Raw genomic sequence first — 19,492 nt, 5'->3', positions numbered from 1 at the left:
AATACTTCTTGTTCGAAAGATAAAATTTTGAACTAAAGCAATGAATACTTTTAAGTTCACCAATACATTAGTCCCCGATCATCTGCAGTTTTGCTTTCCCTGGTTTCAAATGCTTGTGGTCAATTGGAATCCTAAAATCGGTGAGCACAGTAAAATAAGATATTTTGAGAGGGAGAAGAAGAGAGATAACTTGTTCTATTTTATTAGTTGTTAATCTCTTACTATGCCTAATTTATAAATTAAATTTTATAGGTATGTATGAGTAGGAAAAAATCTAGTGTATATAGGGTTAGGTATCATCTATGGTTTCAGGCATCTATTGGAGGTCTTGGTATGAACATATCTTCCAAAGATACAAGGGAACTACTGTACCTTTTTGGAAATTAATAAGGGGTTTCAATTTACGTGTTAGAGGCAGTTGGTCTTTGGTTACTGCTAAGTAAACTTTCAAAATAGAAAAGAAGTAATGTCAAAAGGCAAAAGCTACATTTGAAAATGAAAAAAAAAATTAGAAAAGTCAAGGGAAATCACTCAGCTAATACAATCACTGACAAGTGTTCATTGGTTCTGTTAATTCACAGATGAGCTGTCCCTGGGTCAGCTAGCTCACATTCTTCTCCTGAAGTAAGTCAGTGCTAGAAGAGTTGTTTAGGAAAAAAAAAAAATATTACTTAAATAATAGATTATACCATTGATGTTTTCCTGGAAGGCCAGTGTGAAAGGTATTTGTTTTTTGTTTGTTGAATGTTCTTAATGGATGAATAAAAAGAACATCACCAATTTATGTAGAGCAAGGGGAAAACATCAGCCAAAAAAAAAAAGTATAAAACCAACAATATTACTAAAACCTCAAGGTTTTTACATTTTACAGGAGTACAATTTGTAAAGGCTCTCTAAAAATGTCTTTGCTTAAGACCTTATGTCTGTTATATGTACTAAGAATTTGTTGTTCAAGAGATATATTTTAAACACACTCATCTGTTGCATAGCAAAAAAGCTATAGATCCAAGCTATGTTCTGATCTCCATTTTCTAATCTTAGAATATTATATGTATCTGTGCTTTTCCTACAAGTATCACTCTGGCCATGTTCTGACTTTGTAGCCAAATGAGTTAGGTTGTAAAAGGAAGGAACAATGGCGCTCAAGGAGAAGAAGAAGACGATGCGGTAAAAACAAGGAAGCCATATGTGAATATTGTTACCAATTCAGCATTCCAGAGAGAATAATGGAAATGAAGTGTAAATCTATGCATTACAGAAATATCTACAGACAAAATAAGTGTGTGATACACTCTTTTGGGTTAAAGATAATTCCTTTTTTGTCACCAGATGCCAATGTCTGCGAAAACATAAATAATTTGAAACAAAATTGTCCAAATATCTGATACATTTGAAGATGCTTTCACATCCCATGATCTAATTTTGGGTATATAAAATGGTTATTATTTTAAATTTTAAAGGGTATGTATATAAGTTTAAAAATCTAGATTCTAGCTATTTCTAAAAAAATGATCAGATATAAGTGAGGGAATAAAATAGACATTGTAGTTACCTTCACGGAGATAATAGTTTAGTGGTGAAAATGGAAAGTAAATAGGTTAACACATTATCACAACAATGTCTTGTTTGAAGTCTTGCTTACACTCTGAATGTAGCAATAAGAACCCTTTAAATGAGAGTGACAGGAGCAGGAAAACTACTTTCTATTGGGTAGTCAGTAGAGTGTTTTCTGAAGAGGCGAAATTAAAGCTGATACCCGAGTAGTAGGAACTTGACAATTTGTTGTGTCAAGGAATTCTGCCAGAAAATGAAGTGGAGAAAACATCTGAGGCAAGAGAGGGCTTAGCATGTTTGAGGAGCTCAAAGGAAGCCAGGAGAAAAAGAGTGGGAAAATGAGTCAGAAAGGAATATGGAAGCCACAGTGATGATTTAGTCATTATGTCAAGTACTTTGGAAAGTCATCTGACTTTTAAGCATAGGAGTGGCATCATTTCATTTCATTTAAAATGGTTGTTTTAAGTTTGCTGCATATTCCTATTAGAAGAAGAATAAATCAAAAGGGCTGAAGTGGAAGCAGGTAGGGATTGCAATTGTCCAGGTAGAAAAAAAAAACAGGCAGGAAAAAGGGGATATTTGTGGATATTGTAGTTTTCTGAGGAACCTCCATGCTGTTCTCTACAGTGACTGTACCATTTATATTCCCACTAACAGTGTAGTGTAGTTCCTTTTTATCTGCATCCGTGCCAACAATTATTTTTTGTCTTTTTGGCAATATACATCCTAGCTGGGGTGAGGTGATACCTCATTGTGGTTTTGGTTTGCATTTATTTGATGATTACCGATGTGGAATTTTTTTTTCATATATTAATTGGCCATTTTTTTCTTCTTTTGGAAATAACTGTTCAGATTATTTGCCCATTTTTGAATCCCATCACATCCACATATGATATGATGTTTTATATCATAAAATCGTTATTTTTCTTTTTATGATATCTGAGTTTCTAGCTTCTGCACAGCAAAGGAAACAGTAAACAGAATGAAAAGACAATCCACAGAATGGGAAAAAATATTTGCAAACTACTCATCCAACAGAGGATTAGTATCCTCATTACATTTTTGATGAGGACTTTCACACTTACATCTACCCAGAAGTATTATTCCTATCCTAACATGACACATTCCTTTATTCTTTTTAACAGATCCCATTAGATCTGGCAGTACTTGCTGAAGGAGAGTGTTTGTTGATAGTCTAGAGGAAGAATGAGGGAAGAATCAAAGTGTTTTCAGATATATTTCTGTTATGAGCTACATTGTAGGTCATTGTGATTTTAAAGAAAGAGTGGGTACTAAGAGAAGAACAAAATGGAATAGCTTACTAGAGTGACTAGCGGTTCCATCTTAGCCATATTTATTTCGGAGAAAAAGACAATCAGACATGTATCTGGAAGTCAAGTACACTTTTCAAACTGGGCATATAAACGAGGTACATAAAAATAAAGATAACATGTATATAAGATACTGTTTCTTGCCTATTGAGAAGATTTCCCCATGCTCCCATCCCTAAAATGCTTGGTCAAATTGGATAATTCGTAAACTCTTAGAGATGGAAGAGAATCTATTTTTGTTTAAACCACTTTGTTGAGGTATGACTGACATACCAAAAGCTGTACATATTTAATTTATACAACTTGATTAGTTTGGGGATAAGCGTATACCCATGAGACTTATTACCACATTCAAGATGATAAACTTACCTATCACCTCCAAAAGTTTCCTTCTGCCCCTTAATTTATTTATTTTTTTTGTTTTGTGATAAGAGCTCCTAAGATCTATCCTCTTGGAATATTTTTAACAATACAGTATTTTTAACTATAGGCCCAATGTTGTACAGTAGATCTGCAGAGCTAATTCATCTTGCATAACTGAAGCTTTGTATCCTTTGGGCATCATTTTGCCATTTTCCCCTCTCTCAGCCTTTGGAAACCACTATTCTACTCTCTAGTTCTGTGAGTTTGACTATTTTAGATTCTAGGGAATGGAAGGAAATATTCACAAATCATATGTCTGGCAAATGATTAATATCCAAAATATATAAGGAACTTCTAAAATTCAATAGCAAAAATAAAACTGAAAAATAACCTGATTAAAAATGAGCACAGGACTTGAATAGTCATTTCTCTAAAGAATACGTAGAAATGACCAACAGGTATATGAAAAGGTGCATCACTAATCATCTGAAAAATGCAGTTAAAAGCCACAAGAACCTCTTCATACCTGTTAGGGTGGCTATTATCAGAACAAAACAAAGCAAAAGATACTAAGTGTTGGCAAGAATGTGGAGAAAAGGGAATTCTTTTATGGTGTTGGTTGGAATGTAAATTGGTGCAGCCATTTGGGAGAACAGTTTGGAGGTTCCTCAAAAAATTACAAATAGAATTCCCATTTGATTCACCAATCCCGCTTCTGGATATATATCCAAAGGAAATAAAATCAGGATCTCAAGGAGGTATCTGCACCCCTATGTTTACAGCAGCAATATTTACAATAGCCAAGACATGGAAACAATCTAAATGTATATTGTCAAATAAATAAAACATGGTATATGCATATAACGGAATATTATGTAGCTTTAAAAAAGAAAATTCTTCCATTTGCAGCAGCATAGATGAACTTGGAGGATAGTATGCTAAGTGAAATAAACCAGACACACGCGGTCAAATACTGGAGAATATTTTTTTTGTGGATGGAAAGGCACAGTGTGTAAGACCAGAAGCTCTGAGATCAGATCGCCTGGGTTTAAGTCTATCCACATCATAAACTGCCTGTGTGATTCTAGAAAAGTTGTTTAACCTTTTTGTGCTTGAGTCTCCCAATCTTTAAAATGTGATGATATTAATACATAATTCATAAGTATATAATAATTAAATGAATTCATCTTTTCAAGGTGTATAGAGCCTCATCTAACCTAGATTAATCACTGTACATGTTTGTTAGATAGAAAACAAATAGAAACCTACATATATAGAATTATAAAACATGTATACTTTCTAAGTAAATAATATATGGTTATATATTTTAATTATTAGTGGCTTTAAATTTATAGTAAATAGTTATCAATAAATGGGATTTAGAGGTTACGTGGATGTCTTTCTGCCAGCTTGCAGATCATTGTCTTTCTCTGGGTCAGTATACTCTTTGGGTGTAGTGATCCCCAGATCTCTTTCGTCAGATCTCTAACAGTCTGTTTTTCCATCTTTCTGCAAAAAACTAGCTTCTTGTTTTACCGAGAAAATATAAGCAATCAGAATAGAAGTTGCAGTACTCCCACTGACCTGCATATAAGCTCACAGACTCTACTTTCCCTTTGTTTACATAGATGAACTTTCTGTGCTTTTGTCTAAGGCCAGCTTTTCCACTTACGTACCTGGATCCCTTTCCCTTGTCTCTGCACAAGGACATTGTAACAGCTAATGAACAGCCCTCTACCTCCTACATCTTCTCCACGCTACATCATTCCCATCATTCCCATCAGTAGAGAATTATTCTGTAATATCTCCTGTCATTTAAAAGAATCCTCAATTGGACAACAATCTCTCTAGCAACCTCTCCATTCCCGTTTCCCTTTACAGACATTCCTTTCTCTCCATTTCACTCCTTCCCTTCTCTCTTGATGCCAATTAAGAGAGCTAATCAAACTGTTATCCTCACTATTCTATTAAAGCAGATTTTGTCAGGGTCATCAGTGAATTCGTATTACTAAATCGCTAAATTCAGTTGGCTTCTGTGTCATCATTCTTTCTTAATTATCTCTTAGTTTTCCCTGACCACTGTCAATATCCTTGGTGGTTCTATTGCCCTGACCACTAAATTTGAAAGTGTTCCAGGGCTCAGTCTGTGGACTCCTTTTTTTTTTCCCCCTATTACCACCCACTCTCCGGGTCAACTTATCAAGCTCCATAGTTTTAAATGTAATCTGTAAGTTGTTCCTGCTGTAAGTTTTTTTTTTTTTTTTTTTTAACAATCTGGACCCTTTCTAATGATCCTAGACCTGCATACCCATTTGCCCACTCAACACCTCCACATCAATTAATAATAGGCATATTAAATCTAACATGTTAAAACAAAATTCCTGATGTATACCCCAGTCTACTACCCTAGAAATTTGCCTGTTATTACAAATGGCACCTCCATCTTTCCACTTATTCAAGCCAAATCCCACGAGATTTTCTTGTCTCCTATATTTCTCTTACAGCCGAACATCAAATCTATCACCAAATGCTGTCGTTTTTGCCTTCAAAATTTCCAGGATCCAACAATATCTCACCATACTTGAGCACGTGCACACACACACACACATACACACACACACACACACACACACACACACACACACACAAAGTATGTATGTGAATGTATAGTTTTTACTAGAAGTCTTGGCTGAATTCCATTAGTCCCTCTAATATTTTTGTAGCTTCACCAACTGCCTTAAAAGATTATAACAGAGCAGAGTTTCTAAGTAGAAATTTAGCAGCAGGATTTCTTAATTTATAAAATAGCAAAAATAGCAGCATGTTTTCTTAAGTTTATTATAGGTTCATTGACTGCACAAAATAACATTTATACCTTTTCTAGTACAATTGCAAGACATATTGTTCTAGATGTGTTAGGGTGAAACATTTATTTACATTGTAGTAGATCAAGTACTACATTTACCTAGGTAAGTAAAGAACCTAAAATGAAGTATTATCTATATTAGGCTCAAAATGGTTGTAAATTATAAGGAAAATCAATGCGATAGTGATTCTACACATATTTACTATTGGGCAAAGTACCATGAACACTTCATTTTACTAAAACTGTGCATTATATATTAATACTATGAAAACTCTGTTACTTAAAATGTATAATGTTGTTTCAACCAGAGAGAAGAATACCATCTTTTGAATAGAGTTACTTTTTAAAGTAAAAGCACTATGTATAATGATTGTAATACTATAGAGTGCCTTGTAACAAGGTGTATGATTTTCTTTTAGATGTTTTAAGTTTTGCATTTTTCTGGTTAATGAGTAATGGAGTCCATTGTAGAAAGTTTTAGTTTTCAAAAATGCGTGAGGCTTTAAATAGCAGATGTTTTCTATAACCACAGACAGACTCTTTTGCAACTTGCATTTTACACGTAAAACTTTATATTGAGCCACTTTTCATTTCAGTAAAGATGTATTTGTGATGCACAGTATCCCATAGTATATATATGTCATAATTTAATCTCTCATGAAAGCACCTTTGGGTTTGTTTTCAAGATGTTTGGTCTTTAAAGCTGAATTAAATATTGTACATGTTAGTCTCTACACTTTGGTTGGCATGATTCACTCTCAAAAAATGGAGCAGTTGACTCAGATTCGTGGACATTAACATTTTTATATGTTTTGCCATCTTACTATCTAAAAGGTTGTATTATGTTGGATATTTCCCTCAACAAGTATAAAAACTTTGATTTTCCCACATCCCTGCCCAAAATGGGCTCTTTATTAATTATTATTTTTCCCTGTCTTAACATGTGAAAATGCATTAATTCACTTCGATTTGCAATCATTTAACTATAAATGGTATTAGAACATCTTTTATATACATGTATTGCCATATATTATCTTCTTTGTGAATTGCCAAACTACGTTTTATGCACTTTTCGTTTTTTCTTTTTAATTTATGAGAGTTTCTGTAGATACATGATTATGAAGTTCTTAGAATATTTAAAATAGTAAAACATTATGAAAGAACACAAAGAATAACTATTTCTATGTATGCCAATAAAATTACTTTTCCAACTGAAACATATTATTTTAAAAAGCCTTGTTTTTCTCCATTCACAGAAAAGCATTGTCACACAAACAGCTGAATTATCATCATCGGGCAATACGTTCATTTTATTAAGTATGCCAAATAAACAGACATGTCTTATTTTCACACTTATGGGAAATTGAGTGTATCTGATCCCCATGAGTTATTTTCTTATGCATATAAGCTTTTTACTTCTTTATCATTACTATCTAAGCTTTCTGTTATTTACATACTGATGAAATAATATAATAATAATGTTTCATCACTGTCAATAATCGTGTTTTGTTTGTTTGTTTTGTGGAAGGTCTATGCCAGAAAGGAGGCCTTGAAGGGAGGTTTGGAGAAAACTGTAAGCCTCCAGAAAGATCTATCAGAGATGCACGAATGGATGACACAAGCTGAAGAAGAGTATCTTGAGAGAGATTTTGAATATAAAACTCCAGATGAATTACAGAAAGCAGTTGAAGAGATGAAGGTAAAAAAAAAAAAAGAAAAACTAAGTAAAACAAAGGAAATAAATGGAAAAAGAAAGAAATGCAACAATGCTTGAAGTTGTATACAGTCTGCTCTTTCCTGGTTCTAAGAGAAGAGGTTGATTTTTAATTAATAATTTTAATTTAGCTTCAAGTTTAATATACATTTTAACAACCTTAAACTGTTTAATTTTAATGCATTGTGGTCAATTATGAAAATTGAAAATCACAATTTGAAACAATTTTCCCTTGAAATCATGTAGTATTAAGAGAGCAGAATCAACTCATTTCATTAACTGTCTGTAGCTGATGTAAATGTACGTTGAAACTGTGCAAAAGTATTCTTGAAAAGACAAATTTATAATGTAGTCAACAAACTGTGTTAATTTGGTAGTTTGAAGGCATTTCTGAGAATTTGGAAACACTAAATATTTGAACCCGTAGCCTTTAATATGGATAGAAAGGACTGAGTTTACATGTACTTTTCTTGAAACAATAGGACAAAATATAACATTGACTTATTACGAAGGAAACTGGTATGTAGTATGTAGTATGGATTTGGAGGTGAAGCCTGGACTTGAACCTACATAGTGGCATTTCGTATGGCCTTGGGCAACAATATAATAGTCAATATAATCCTCTGTTTTATCATGTTTATATCATCATACTTCCTCACTTGAATGTATGAACTGTTGATTGTAACTACCATGTGAGTAAATTGCCTAACTCAGAGTTGGTGCTCAATTAGTAGCTATAATCATAATTATTATTTTTATGTGCTAGCAAGAACTTAGAGAATGACTTGAAATATTAATACTGTAGATCTTTTTTTGGTTCAAGGATTGTGACAAGGAAAAATCAATGTGGAGCCAGATACTTGAGTTTAAAACTTAGTTCGGCCCCATGCCAACTGTATAAATTGGGGTGAGTTACATGAGCTTACTGAGCCAAATTCCTTCGTTTGTGAACTGGGTATCAGAATGTCTGCTTTCAGAATCATTAGAGGGATGAAATATGAAATTTCTAACACAATGCCTAGCACAGTATAAATGACCATGACTCATTATTTATTATTTTAATTGTGAAAGGGCCACATGGTAAAAAATTATATAATTAAATGGTAATTCAGAAATATCTATTATAGTTAATAGCAGAAAGTAACTCACATGAAAACTCAGATGTTTAAATATCGAATCTGTCATACGGCTTTAGTCAAATGTTGAAAGTAAATATCTAATATACTCCATAAATATGTATAAATATTATGTGTGTATAAAACTATAATGAAGAAAAAATTAGTATAATCATTTCTAGAGTATTAAAAACACAGAATTATTCTAATCTAGCAATAGCATATTTATCAACTAAAACTTATTGCATACTTACTGTGTGCCAAACACCCTCTGGCTACTGAATATAGAGGGTGGTGAGCAAGACCACTGCCTTGGAATTTACATTCTAGTGTTCTAGCGTGTGGTGAGGAGCAGGCAATAAATGGAAAAATAAATGAAATCATGATAATTTGCCTAGAAGTAAACATGGATTTTGAAATCAAGAATGAATAATGTTCAGGCAGGATTTGAGGGTGGTAGGATGCTATTTTAGAAAAACTTGACTTATAGAGCATTTATGAAGAATTGTATGTAATATGAGAGAACTGAATCATAAGGAAAAGCCAACCACTTAAAAAAATCTTTATGGAAACACATTCTATTCAGAGAGCATAGCTTCTGCAAAGACCCTGAAGCTAATTGGGAAGAGAAAGAAATCTGCCTGAAGGAAGGAAAATGGGATAAAATTACCTCAGATAAGTCTTAGGAGGTGGGCAAATATCTGTTAACAAACGGGTTTTGTTAGAGTATCACAGTTTTTATTCTAAATGGACAAGAAAAACCATTGGAGTATTTCAAAAGACCAAAATAATTTAAAATTTGACTTTGGGGAGGTCACCCCTGAGGAAAACTTTATCAGAATGTGAGAGCTAGAAGGTACTTTGAAACTTGTGTAATTCACACTTCTCTCTCTGCTTATCAGAAAACTGCAATTCCCAGATAGGTCAAATGATTTAGCCATAGTCACAGACTTTATTTGTGGTAGAGCCCACAGGATTGAAGGTATTTTATTCTATTTCATCTCTTTTTTCCTTTCCTTTCCTTTCCTTTCCTTTCCTTTCCTTTCCTTTCCTTTCCTTTCCTTTCCTTTCCTTTCCTTTCCTTTCCTTTCCCTTTCCCTTTCCCTTTCCCTTTCCCTTTCCCTTTCCTTTCCCTTCCCTTTCCCTTTCCCTTTCCCTTTCCCTTTCCCTTTCCCTTTCCCTTTCCCTTTCCCTTTCACTTTCACTTTCACTTTCACTTTCACTTTCCCTTTCCTTTTCCTTTCCTTTCTTTTCCATTGTGTGTCACTCATATGGCCTTTTCTCTTGTATCTCAATTCCTTTCTCACTGCGTCTATTTATATATGGCCACTACCTCAGATCCGTAAGTAGATACTATAGAGTCATTTGTGTTCAGCTGCTCTGATTATCCCTGGGTTCCTTTGGTTCAGTGCCTCTTCTGGCCCTCTTCCCTCTCCCTATGAGCGATTTGCCTATGTCACCAACAACCCAGTCAGATCTCTCTTATTTTCCTGTGCTCTAGAGTAAACTGTCTCAAATTTTTAAAATTTGAAAACCATCCTTGAAATGAGTGTTCCAACAAATTTGTCTACATTGATTGACATGTTTTGATAATTGGTCTAGCTACAAAATTGGTTTAGTATGGGGGTGATAGTAAAAAGAGGTAAACTCTGGAAGCCTCTGGCAACAACCACTGGAAGAGTTGGCAGGAAGATTTCATTTCTTGAGTTTTCAGCCTGCTACTCAAGACAGTTTCTTTAAGGCAACTTCACTACCTGGAGGTTAGCAATAGTACCTTGTCCAGACTTCTACCTGTGCTCATTTGATAGCTAATTTTTCTTTATTGTCAGAAGATACTAACAGACCTATTTTGACATCTCTCCCTGATACTCAAAGAAGAAATAGAGACCCCCCCTTCTGTTTATGTTCTTTCCTGTGTTTTACCTGAAAATGGAAGTGCTGTTTTAATAACTTATTTTTCCCCTGAAAAGGAAAGTTTTTTTGACATAAAAGAACCCAGGGTACAGTTTGATAAACAACCTCTGACTTTAAAACTTTTATGGAGATCAGCAATCACTATATGGTAAAACTTTATACTAAAACCCTTTGAAAAACACTCTGGAAAGTTATTAACTGGTTTTATTTTTTTTTAATTTTTACTCTATTATAACTCTAGTACTAGTGCTTACCAGAACTTACACATAAAGTGAGAATAGTAAATACACAAATAAATTTGTATAATCACTACAGCAGTGATTCCTGCATCTGAATGGACATCAGAATCACCTGGAAGTCTTGTTTAATACACAGAGTGCTGGGCCCTGACCCCAGAATTTCTGATTCAGTGAGTCTTGGGTGAGGCCTGTAGTTTTTCATTTTTAACAAGTTTGAGTTTGATACCAAAGAACAAGTTGCAGAGTGATTCCAAGGGTGCTCACTTTAAGAAGCACGGGTGTGAAATCCTAGCAATGAAAGATGGCAGAGCATATCATAGTTAGATTCATGGAAAGAAACAAGAGCCACCGTTTTTATGAGGATTTGTATAGAAACTGTACCAGTCATTTAGCTTTCTACCTTTTCTCCTAGTAGAGAAATTCATCATCATCTTCTTTCCTCATATGTACCTGGATTAATAAATTTTGCTGTTTGTTCTTCGAACCTTTCCCAAGATCTGAGCCTCTTATTAAACCAAGAATATATGAAGTCTAAAAACCATGGAAAGAAGTGTTCTTCATTCTACATTTTTATATAGTTGCTTGGGTTATTTATAATGAGCATAAATTGTAATTTTATTCATTAGACTGACTACAGCATGCTCCTTCTTCAGCTCATGGAACATTTGAGACCCGCTTAACAGAAACTATGAGAAAGAGAGGATATAACTCTGAGGATGATTTCCTTAAACTCTCTGAACCTCAGTTTTCTAATGTCCAATATAGAGGTAACAAAACACATCCGAGAAGGTTTGGGTAAAGATCTAATGAGGTAGCACTTATGACATGGCTGGCACAGAACACAGTAGCACATATTAAATGATGAATGGTAATCAAACTTGTTGATTATACTATAATTACTAAAGTCAAAATGCAATTTGTGTAAAAACAATCTCTATGCTCAGTGATGCCAAAAAGCTGATTTATTTAGAATATTGAACTAAAGATTTCAATCAATTAAAATCGGTGAAGTTAAGCATTCTATAGACAAAACAATTTGCATTTTCTGACATAATGCATACTTTTAAGGAATTGTGGGACTAAATCCAAAGGAGTAGGGTGATTATGCTGACACATACAAAGGCATTTTATAGCTGACCTTATCCATATCCTGCCAATAAGCCCTTACCTTAACCACCGCATTGTATGCAGGCCCAACTTCTACATTATAGAACCTGAGTTCCTTTACTTGAGGGCTTTCTGTGGCCACTGAATCCCACTTTTGCACTTGTGTGGTAGGCTTGCAAGTACTGGGAAATTAACATTTCCCCAACAGCCTTTAACAATTAGGGAAGATGATACAGAAATAATACCCCAATTTCTTCACCCCTGAATGGGATAACCCGCAGGCATATATTTCTCAGGGCTTTCTAACAGGATTAAACTCTAGTCATTAACAGTGTTTGCTGGGATTAATAAGTATGCCCATATGGATGTCTCTTCCCTTTCTTGTCTCAATTCCCCATTCAGCTACCAGAATTTCTTTTACATGGCACACATAAATAAACTACTTATATTTGAAAGCTAATGTCAGGTTTGACCCCTGGAGGAACACAGACTAAAGATACAGTGTGTATGTGTGTGTGTTTCTAAAATACATGTACGCATTTGAAGTTAAGGAGTGTAAATGTCTCCCAACCGAAGACCACCACCAACTCTCTTGTAGCTGAACAAGTTGGGTTCATTATTTTTTGCAATGAGGGAGAATACACAACATGGAGGCCAGGGGGTGCGTGTGGATGAAAAAAAAAAAAAACATTGTAGGATTTGTGCTTGTGTTAGGGGATTTGAGGGAGGGTTTAAAAGCTTTACTTTGGATTGCTTGTCATTAGTGTGTAGGGATAGCTATATGGGTATCGTATCTTGTCCAGAAGGAGAGAAGACCAGAATGAGGCTAAAGTTGCAATTAATAAAGAAACGGCGTTCGTTCATATTAACCAGGATAGGAGAGTGTTGGGCGTTTTGTGGTTTGGGTAATGTTGATGTTTTTGTCTGGATTCAGACATGATTATGGAATGATCTTGTCATGGTCTTGATCCATTATGGAAACAAAGTGGCCTTTTCCAATGTTGAAATTCTGTGAAACAGTTTATTTTCCACTTGAGAAGACCAAGGCATAGCTGGGTGTCAGGCCAGCTTCTGATATCAGCAGCTCCTTTTTTGGTTTCTCTTTCTCTCATGTGTTTTCAATTCTCGAACGAAACTTTCTTTTATCAAAATATGTTCCTAAATATAGCATCAAGGGGACCTTTCTATGTTAAGTATCCTTTAACTTAAATAATGATATTTGTGATGGTTTCAATATTATTCATCCAAGTAATTTATAAGTGATTTCAATTCTAGACTGCCAAATATTTTTTAACCTAGTTAATATTGAAATATTTGTTTCTTGCCTTTTCCAAACAATTGTATTTATATCAATGTGTATATATTTGACCACAAATCCATACCTCCATGCAGACTACTTTTCAGTCTATTCTTGTTACAGATCTGTTGTATTCTTATAATAAATTATTTCTTTAACTTTCCAATTTCAACTAAACTTAAATTTATGGAAGAGACTGGAGTTCATATTAGATTTATTTTTGTAATTCTCATTCTAACTGGGATGTTGTGAGAAAGAAATTATATGATTCATAGAAATGCATTTTGGATGTAAAGTTATTTTCATGCTATTAAGAGAGCATTCTTTATTTTTCAGAGAGCTAAAGAAGAGGCCCAACAAAAAGAAGCGAAAGTGAAACTCCTTACTGAGTCTGTAAATAGTGTCATAGCTCAAGCTCCACCTGTAGCACAAGAGGCCTTAAAAAAGGAACTTGAAACTCTAACCACCAACTACCAGTGGCTCTGCACTAGGCTGAATGGGAAATGCAAGACTTTGGAAGTCAGTTGCTTTTCTTGGTCTTTGTCAATGATATGTCAATACATGGTCATATGTGAGGCATAGTGGTTAAGAACATGGATACCAGTGCAAAACAACTTTGGCTTGAATTCCTCATTCAGGCACTTATAAGTTGTATGACTTTGGGCCATTTGCTTAACTTGTGTAAACCTGTTTTCAATCTGTCAACTAGACATAATACATAATTCATAAGTTGTTGAGAAAATTAAATGAGCTATTCTCTTTAAACTACTTAGCCTAGTACTCAATATATGTGAGTAGCTATGCTTCTAATTCTCATTACTATTATTAGGTCATAAAATCCTATAAATTTTCTCCAGATTTATAGACAATGATCTTTATTTTTTCTTATTTTTGTATGTACATAAACTTATTTAAGTATCTTTGGGGAAAAGCATTCTGTAGAGAAGTATGTTTTTACTACAATTGTCTTTAGTAATTGCCGTGCCCCATAGAGTTCTTTGTTAGACATGTTACCTAACCAGCTCTATATTTTTTGATGGTTTGCATTATATTTATGTATTATCACAACTTCTGCTTTAACTTTTATGGATGGGCCTTACTGTCTAGATTATGCTTATCTGAATTTAGATAAAGAAAGCAGGTGCCTCAAATGATGGCCATGTAATTGCATCAAAAATAAGCTATGACCTTTCTTATGAAAATACTGTGCCAAGGGGCACAAAACTTTATCCACTACAAATGCTGATGCTGCCAGACATTGCACATGAGTTGGACTTTAAGCCCCCTTCCCTCACACAGACTGAGTTATTTTGGTGAATATGGTTAATAAAGTGTTCAGGTACCTCTTTACTTTTGAAAAACATTATTTAGTTTGCTTCCTATGTTGAGGGTTTGATATTTAAAGAAAGATACGATTCAGATCAATAATAAAGTACACCTTTAAAAATATTTTAAAATGTATTTGTAGCTAAAGTACCCCATATATTCCCAATACAGTATTATCATTTTCCAATTGTAAAATGTGATCCGAGTTTCTCCATTATCAGTTCTAAGCTCTTCTTTACTCATCCTTATTCTTTTCTTTTAAATGCAATTCACTCCTCAGACTCTTGAAAAGTGCCTTCTATATGTCAGGAAATATTACAGTTTCTGAGGATATAATGACGTATCTTATGTATCAGTGTTATGTGAGTGCTATATAAAATATAACAAAGAATGGGAAGGGAAGGGATCTGATGGCACTGTACATGTCTCAAGAAAACCACAATTAATTCACTAACATGTTACAATAGGGAGGGACTTTTTGTACCCAGGAAATGCTTTCTGACAATGTTTAAATAAAACACCTACTATTACTTTCTTATGTTCTTAATGTCCTTAAATAAGCATCATTGTTCCCTATTATTCATGTTGTTCATTTAAATGATACTCCGTGATTCATTAGAAATTTATATTGGAGTACATTTTCCGAAGGGATTTTCTTAAGTTTTCGTATTAATAACAAACTTTTCAAGACCAATTATTGGATTATTTTTCCATTTCCTTCTCATGTATAATAACATTTCTAACATTCCCTATTCATATTGAAGTTATCAAATTATTGAGTTCCATTTTAGTCCTTTTTCACTGGTTTGGAATATGTACTTTATTTTATCTTATAAATATTTCTCTATACCTCTCTAACAATAATATGGTGGAAACATTAGCATAGTTTAACTCTGAACCTACCTCTTCCGTTTTCCGCGTTATTGTTGCCTCATATTTCATTTTCACCTTATTTCCCCCAAATTAGTCCATATAATTGCTGTTGCTGCTGCTGTTGTTTTAACTATTTCATATAATATTTATTTAGATTTACCGATGCTATTTTCCCAGTTTTTGTGATCAGTTTTGCCTTTTGTTCTTCCCTTTGCTTCTGTGTTCAGTTTCTTTCTTGCTCTTTCCTTGAGTGTGAGTAGCAAATGTGTTCAGATTTTACATATTGAAAATGCCTTTATTTTGCCCTGAGTATTGGATAATGATGCAGTTGAGCAGGAAATTATGTAAGGACAGGTTTTTTTTTTTCCTACAACACTGAAAATATTATTTGTCTTTTGAAATTTTTTGCCTTTAGGAAATCTGCTGTCAAGTTATTGTTTCTTTATCATTTTCTCTGGTACCTTTAAATTTTCTCTTCGTCCTGTCTGCTCTGCAGTTTCACCCTATTTTGTCTTCTACAGTTTCACTCAACTTTGTCTGTGTGTAAATTTGCTTTCATTTATACTTTGTCACCTGGTGTGTTAATTAGAACAGATACGTTATTTCTTTAGTGGTTCTGCATTGTCTTTGTGAAGATTTTCTTTTTCCCAATCTCTTCATTCCTTCCTAAGGGAAAACTTTCTTAGAGCTATTAAGACTATCCCCTTCTTATATTCCAGTTACTGGTTTCCCTTTAATATTTTCTATATTCTTATCTCTATCTGCTCAATTTTGGATACTTTTCTAAAATCTGTCTTCCAACTCTCAAATTCTCGCTTCAGCTGCCTGTGGCGTAATTTATCCTTCAATAGAGAAATAGTCTCATCTTTGTCTGTATATATATTTATCTCTCTACATTTATGTATGTGTGTTTATATTTTTTCAAAAAACATATTTTCCATTTCTCAATATTTTATTGAGTTGTTTCACAAATCTGTTCTTTGTTATGGTTTTCTTCTTTTTTGTGATTAATTCTATGTATTCCTTTAAACAACTTAAACAGATACCATCTGTTTGACTGAAATGTTTCAACTTAATGAGTAATAAACATGACACCGTCTTATTTTTCCAATAACTACACCCAACTCTGTCAAATTTCACCTTCTGCCTGGTAGTTGGCTTCTTTAACAATATTTCTCTGGGATCTCATTACTTTTTATTCACTTTTAGTTATTAAAATGTACTCTAATTTAAATTTAAATATCATAACTTAATCAAATATTTCACAAGTTTAGATTAATCTGTTGCTTCAGCAATTTATACAGACGCAGGAGTGAGAATAAATGGTCTCACAGTCTCCTCCTCCATCCCAGTTTCTGGATACAGATCTACTGTCGATATAAGGGAGGGTGAAGAGGGAAAAATACTCTCTTCATGTGAAAGTCCTTTTTTTGCTGCTCACAACTGCTGTTCCCTTTTGTTAAAACCCACACACATCTATAATGCCTAGTCTGTTGTCCCTCTTCTATATATTATCACCACTGACCTGGCTCGTTCTCTATAGACTTGATTCGCTCTGTTGAGGATCCAGATTGGCCTTATTCATATGAGCTTTGAACCCCCCAAAAAAGATCTCCTAGGCTTTTATAGTACCTCGTAGTGTTTAACAAGAATTTCAAGCTGACGCTTGTCAACAGCTTTACACAAACTGCTCTTGAATATTATGTCTTTTTAACCAATGCTTTAGTGATGCCCTGGAGTCTAATTTACCTACCATATCTCAACTCAGAGCCTATGGGCACTGGAAGTACCTATACTCCGTACCTTTCAGGAATGAGAAGTTTGAAAGAGTTGTTTTTGATTCCTTCTTGGCCATACCAACAGCTCAACAGGAAATGAATACCAACCACCCCTTCCTGAATATATCCACCCAGTAGATGAGTGGTTTTGTTTTAGATCCTGTAAATAAAATGATTCAGATGAGTTTACCCTACCTATCCCCATAAAAGGGTGAGAAAGAAGAATTGCCTAACTATTCAAACTCTCTTCACCTCACTCCCCTCAAGTCTCCGTCAGCTCTCTCTGTTTAAACCAGGGCTTGTGAAAACAAGAAAGAGATGATCTCCCAAAATGAAATGTAGGCAACCAAGCCCTTTTTCTTAGGTGTGAATTCCACTTGCCAGTCTCAAGCAAATAAACTCTATGGGAAACATACACCATGAGGCTAGGCATATTTATTGTACAGTTCTCCAAAATTGTTCTATTATCTTTATGTCATAAGGTATGGATTCTACCATTTGTTACAACTAATGACTCCCTCTAATGGAAGTGAATTTCCCCATGTGGCTAGTAAGGTTTTTGTTTGTTTATTTGTTTATTTGCGAGCTCATCTATAATAGGAATTGCCTTTACTGGAATTTTTGTCTTTTTTTTTCTCTGGGCTATTGAGTTTTTGTATTGTTGCCATCAGGATTGTAGAGATTTTATGCTCTGCCCTCATGTGTGATACAAGCTTAAGTTTCCGTTTGTTATGGGTGGATCTTTATTTTTCAGCCCAAAATCCCCCAACAATAGTTTCCTTGCTAAATCATAATATTCCAATGGCTAGGGATGTTCTACTTCTTCCTTACAGGGTGGATGGCACACTGCTTCATTCTTTCCCATTTCCCTGGCTTGCCTCATTTCCCATCTCAAGTTAGTGTTAAATGCCCCAGCTTTGATGTCGTATACCCTGTTCTGATACGCCAGTATTTTTATAAGCTTGATTTTCCACTTTCTACTTTCATTTCCCTCTTTTTCTTTCTCACACCTGAGGTTCTATATACATGTTTTACAGATCAGCTATGAATTAAAAATGTTTCCTTTGTATTTTAACATGTATTTTGGTATAACTGAAGCAGGATATGTTGGGAGTTACCTCATCAGCTCCATCTACTATTTTGAACAGAAGTTTAGTTTTTTATTTGTACTTTCCTTCAAAGCCACTTTGGATTCTGTGATTTCAAAGTAATTTTAAGATCCAAACTGTTAAGCTTAACAGTTATTCTAAGTGGCTTTTAGCTCCAATTCGGGCTTCAAGACTATATTTTATTTTGCAAAGGTGACCTGTAAAGCTGGTACATTCAGCCTCTCCAGCTGTGTCCTTCAGATGCATTGAGGACAGAAGAAGCTATCCATTCTGACAGTTAAATCAGCAAGGTAGTTCATTACCTCAATCTGCACCAAAGTTAATAAGACACATTACCAATCACGTCTCCTTGTCTTCAAAGCTCTAAGGTACCCTCGGGTATTTAAGAAGATATTTATATTTTCCCACTGGGATCTTTGCCCAGAATGAAGACAGCCTGTAGTCCAGCAGGAGCTGGAAATGACCCAGATTTTAGATTTCTATCACCTTTTAAAGCAAAACACTTAATTTCACTTTTTGCAATAAACTGTACATAAGATATCAAGCAGGTATGAAAGGTTGGTACGTTTGCCAAGCAGGTGAGACTGATACTTTTCATCAGATAGAGATCGAATACTCTGTGTCATTCTAAGGGCTATGAACATAGAGAACTTTGGGAAATCTGATTAATTTTTTAGATCCTTCTGAAATAAATCTTCCTTTCAAGCCTTTAATTTTGGTGGTAGTGAGGCGGGGGCAGGTGGTAGTAAGTGGTGATGATTGCTGCATTGTGTTTACTGTACTTATAGGTTCATTCAACAGTTACAAAGCTAACAGAAAATGACCGTTGTTACATTCTTATCCTCTCTCGCATCTTCCTATCTTTTCCCCAATAGACATAATCACCATCTAGAAAGCTACCTTTGT

The 19,492-nt window shown here is 34.4% G+C and overlaps 1 protein-coding gene across 17 annotated transcripts in view; it reads left to right on the top strand.

Annotated features, from left to right (window-relative positions):
• DMD (dystrophin) overlaps window positions 1–19,492 on the top strand; it is a 2,220,167-nt gene that overhangs the window by 876,914 nt on the left and 1,323,761 nt on the right. For all 17 annotated transcript variants that reach the window (XM_006724469.4, NM_000109.4, XM_011545467.2 and 14 more), the window contains 2 exon segments: window positions 7,643–7,813; window positions 13,837–14,019. In XM_006724469.4, coding sequence (XP_006724532.1) covers window positions 7,643–7,813; window positions 13,837–14,019 — 354 coding nt within the window.

The sequence above is a fragment of the Homo sapiens genome, chromosome X, assembly GCF_000001405.40.
Source record: "Homo sapiens chromosome X, GRCh38.p14 Primary Assembly".
NCBI lineage: Eukaryota > Metazoa > Chordata > Mammalia > Primates > Hominidae > Homo > Homo sapiens.
Note: the sequence above shows the minus strand (reverse complement) of the source record. Positions and strands in the feature narration are given on the sequence as shown.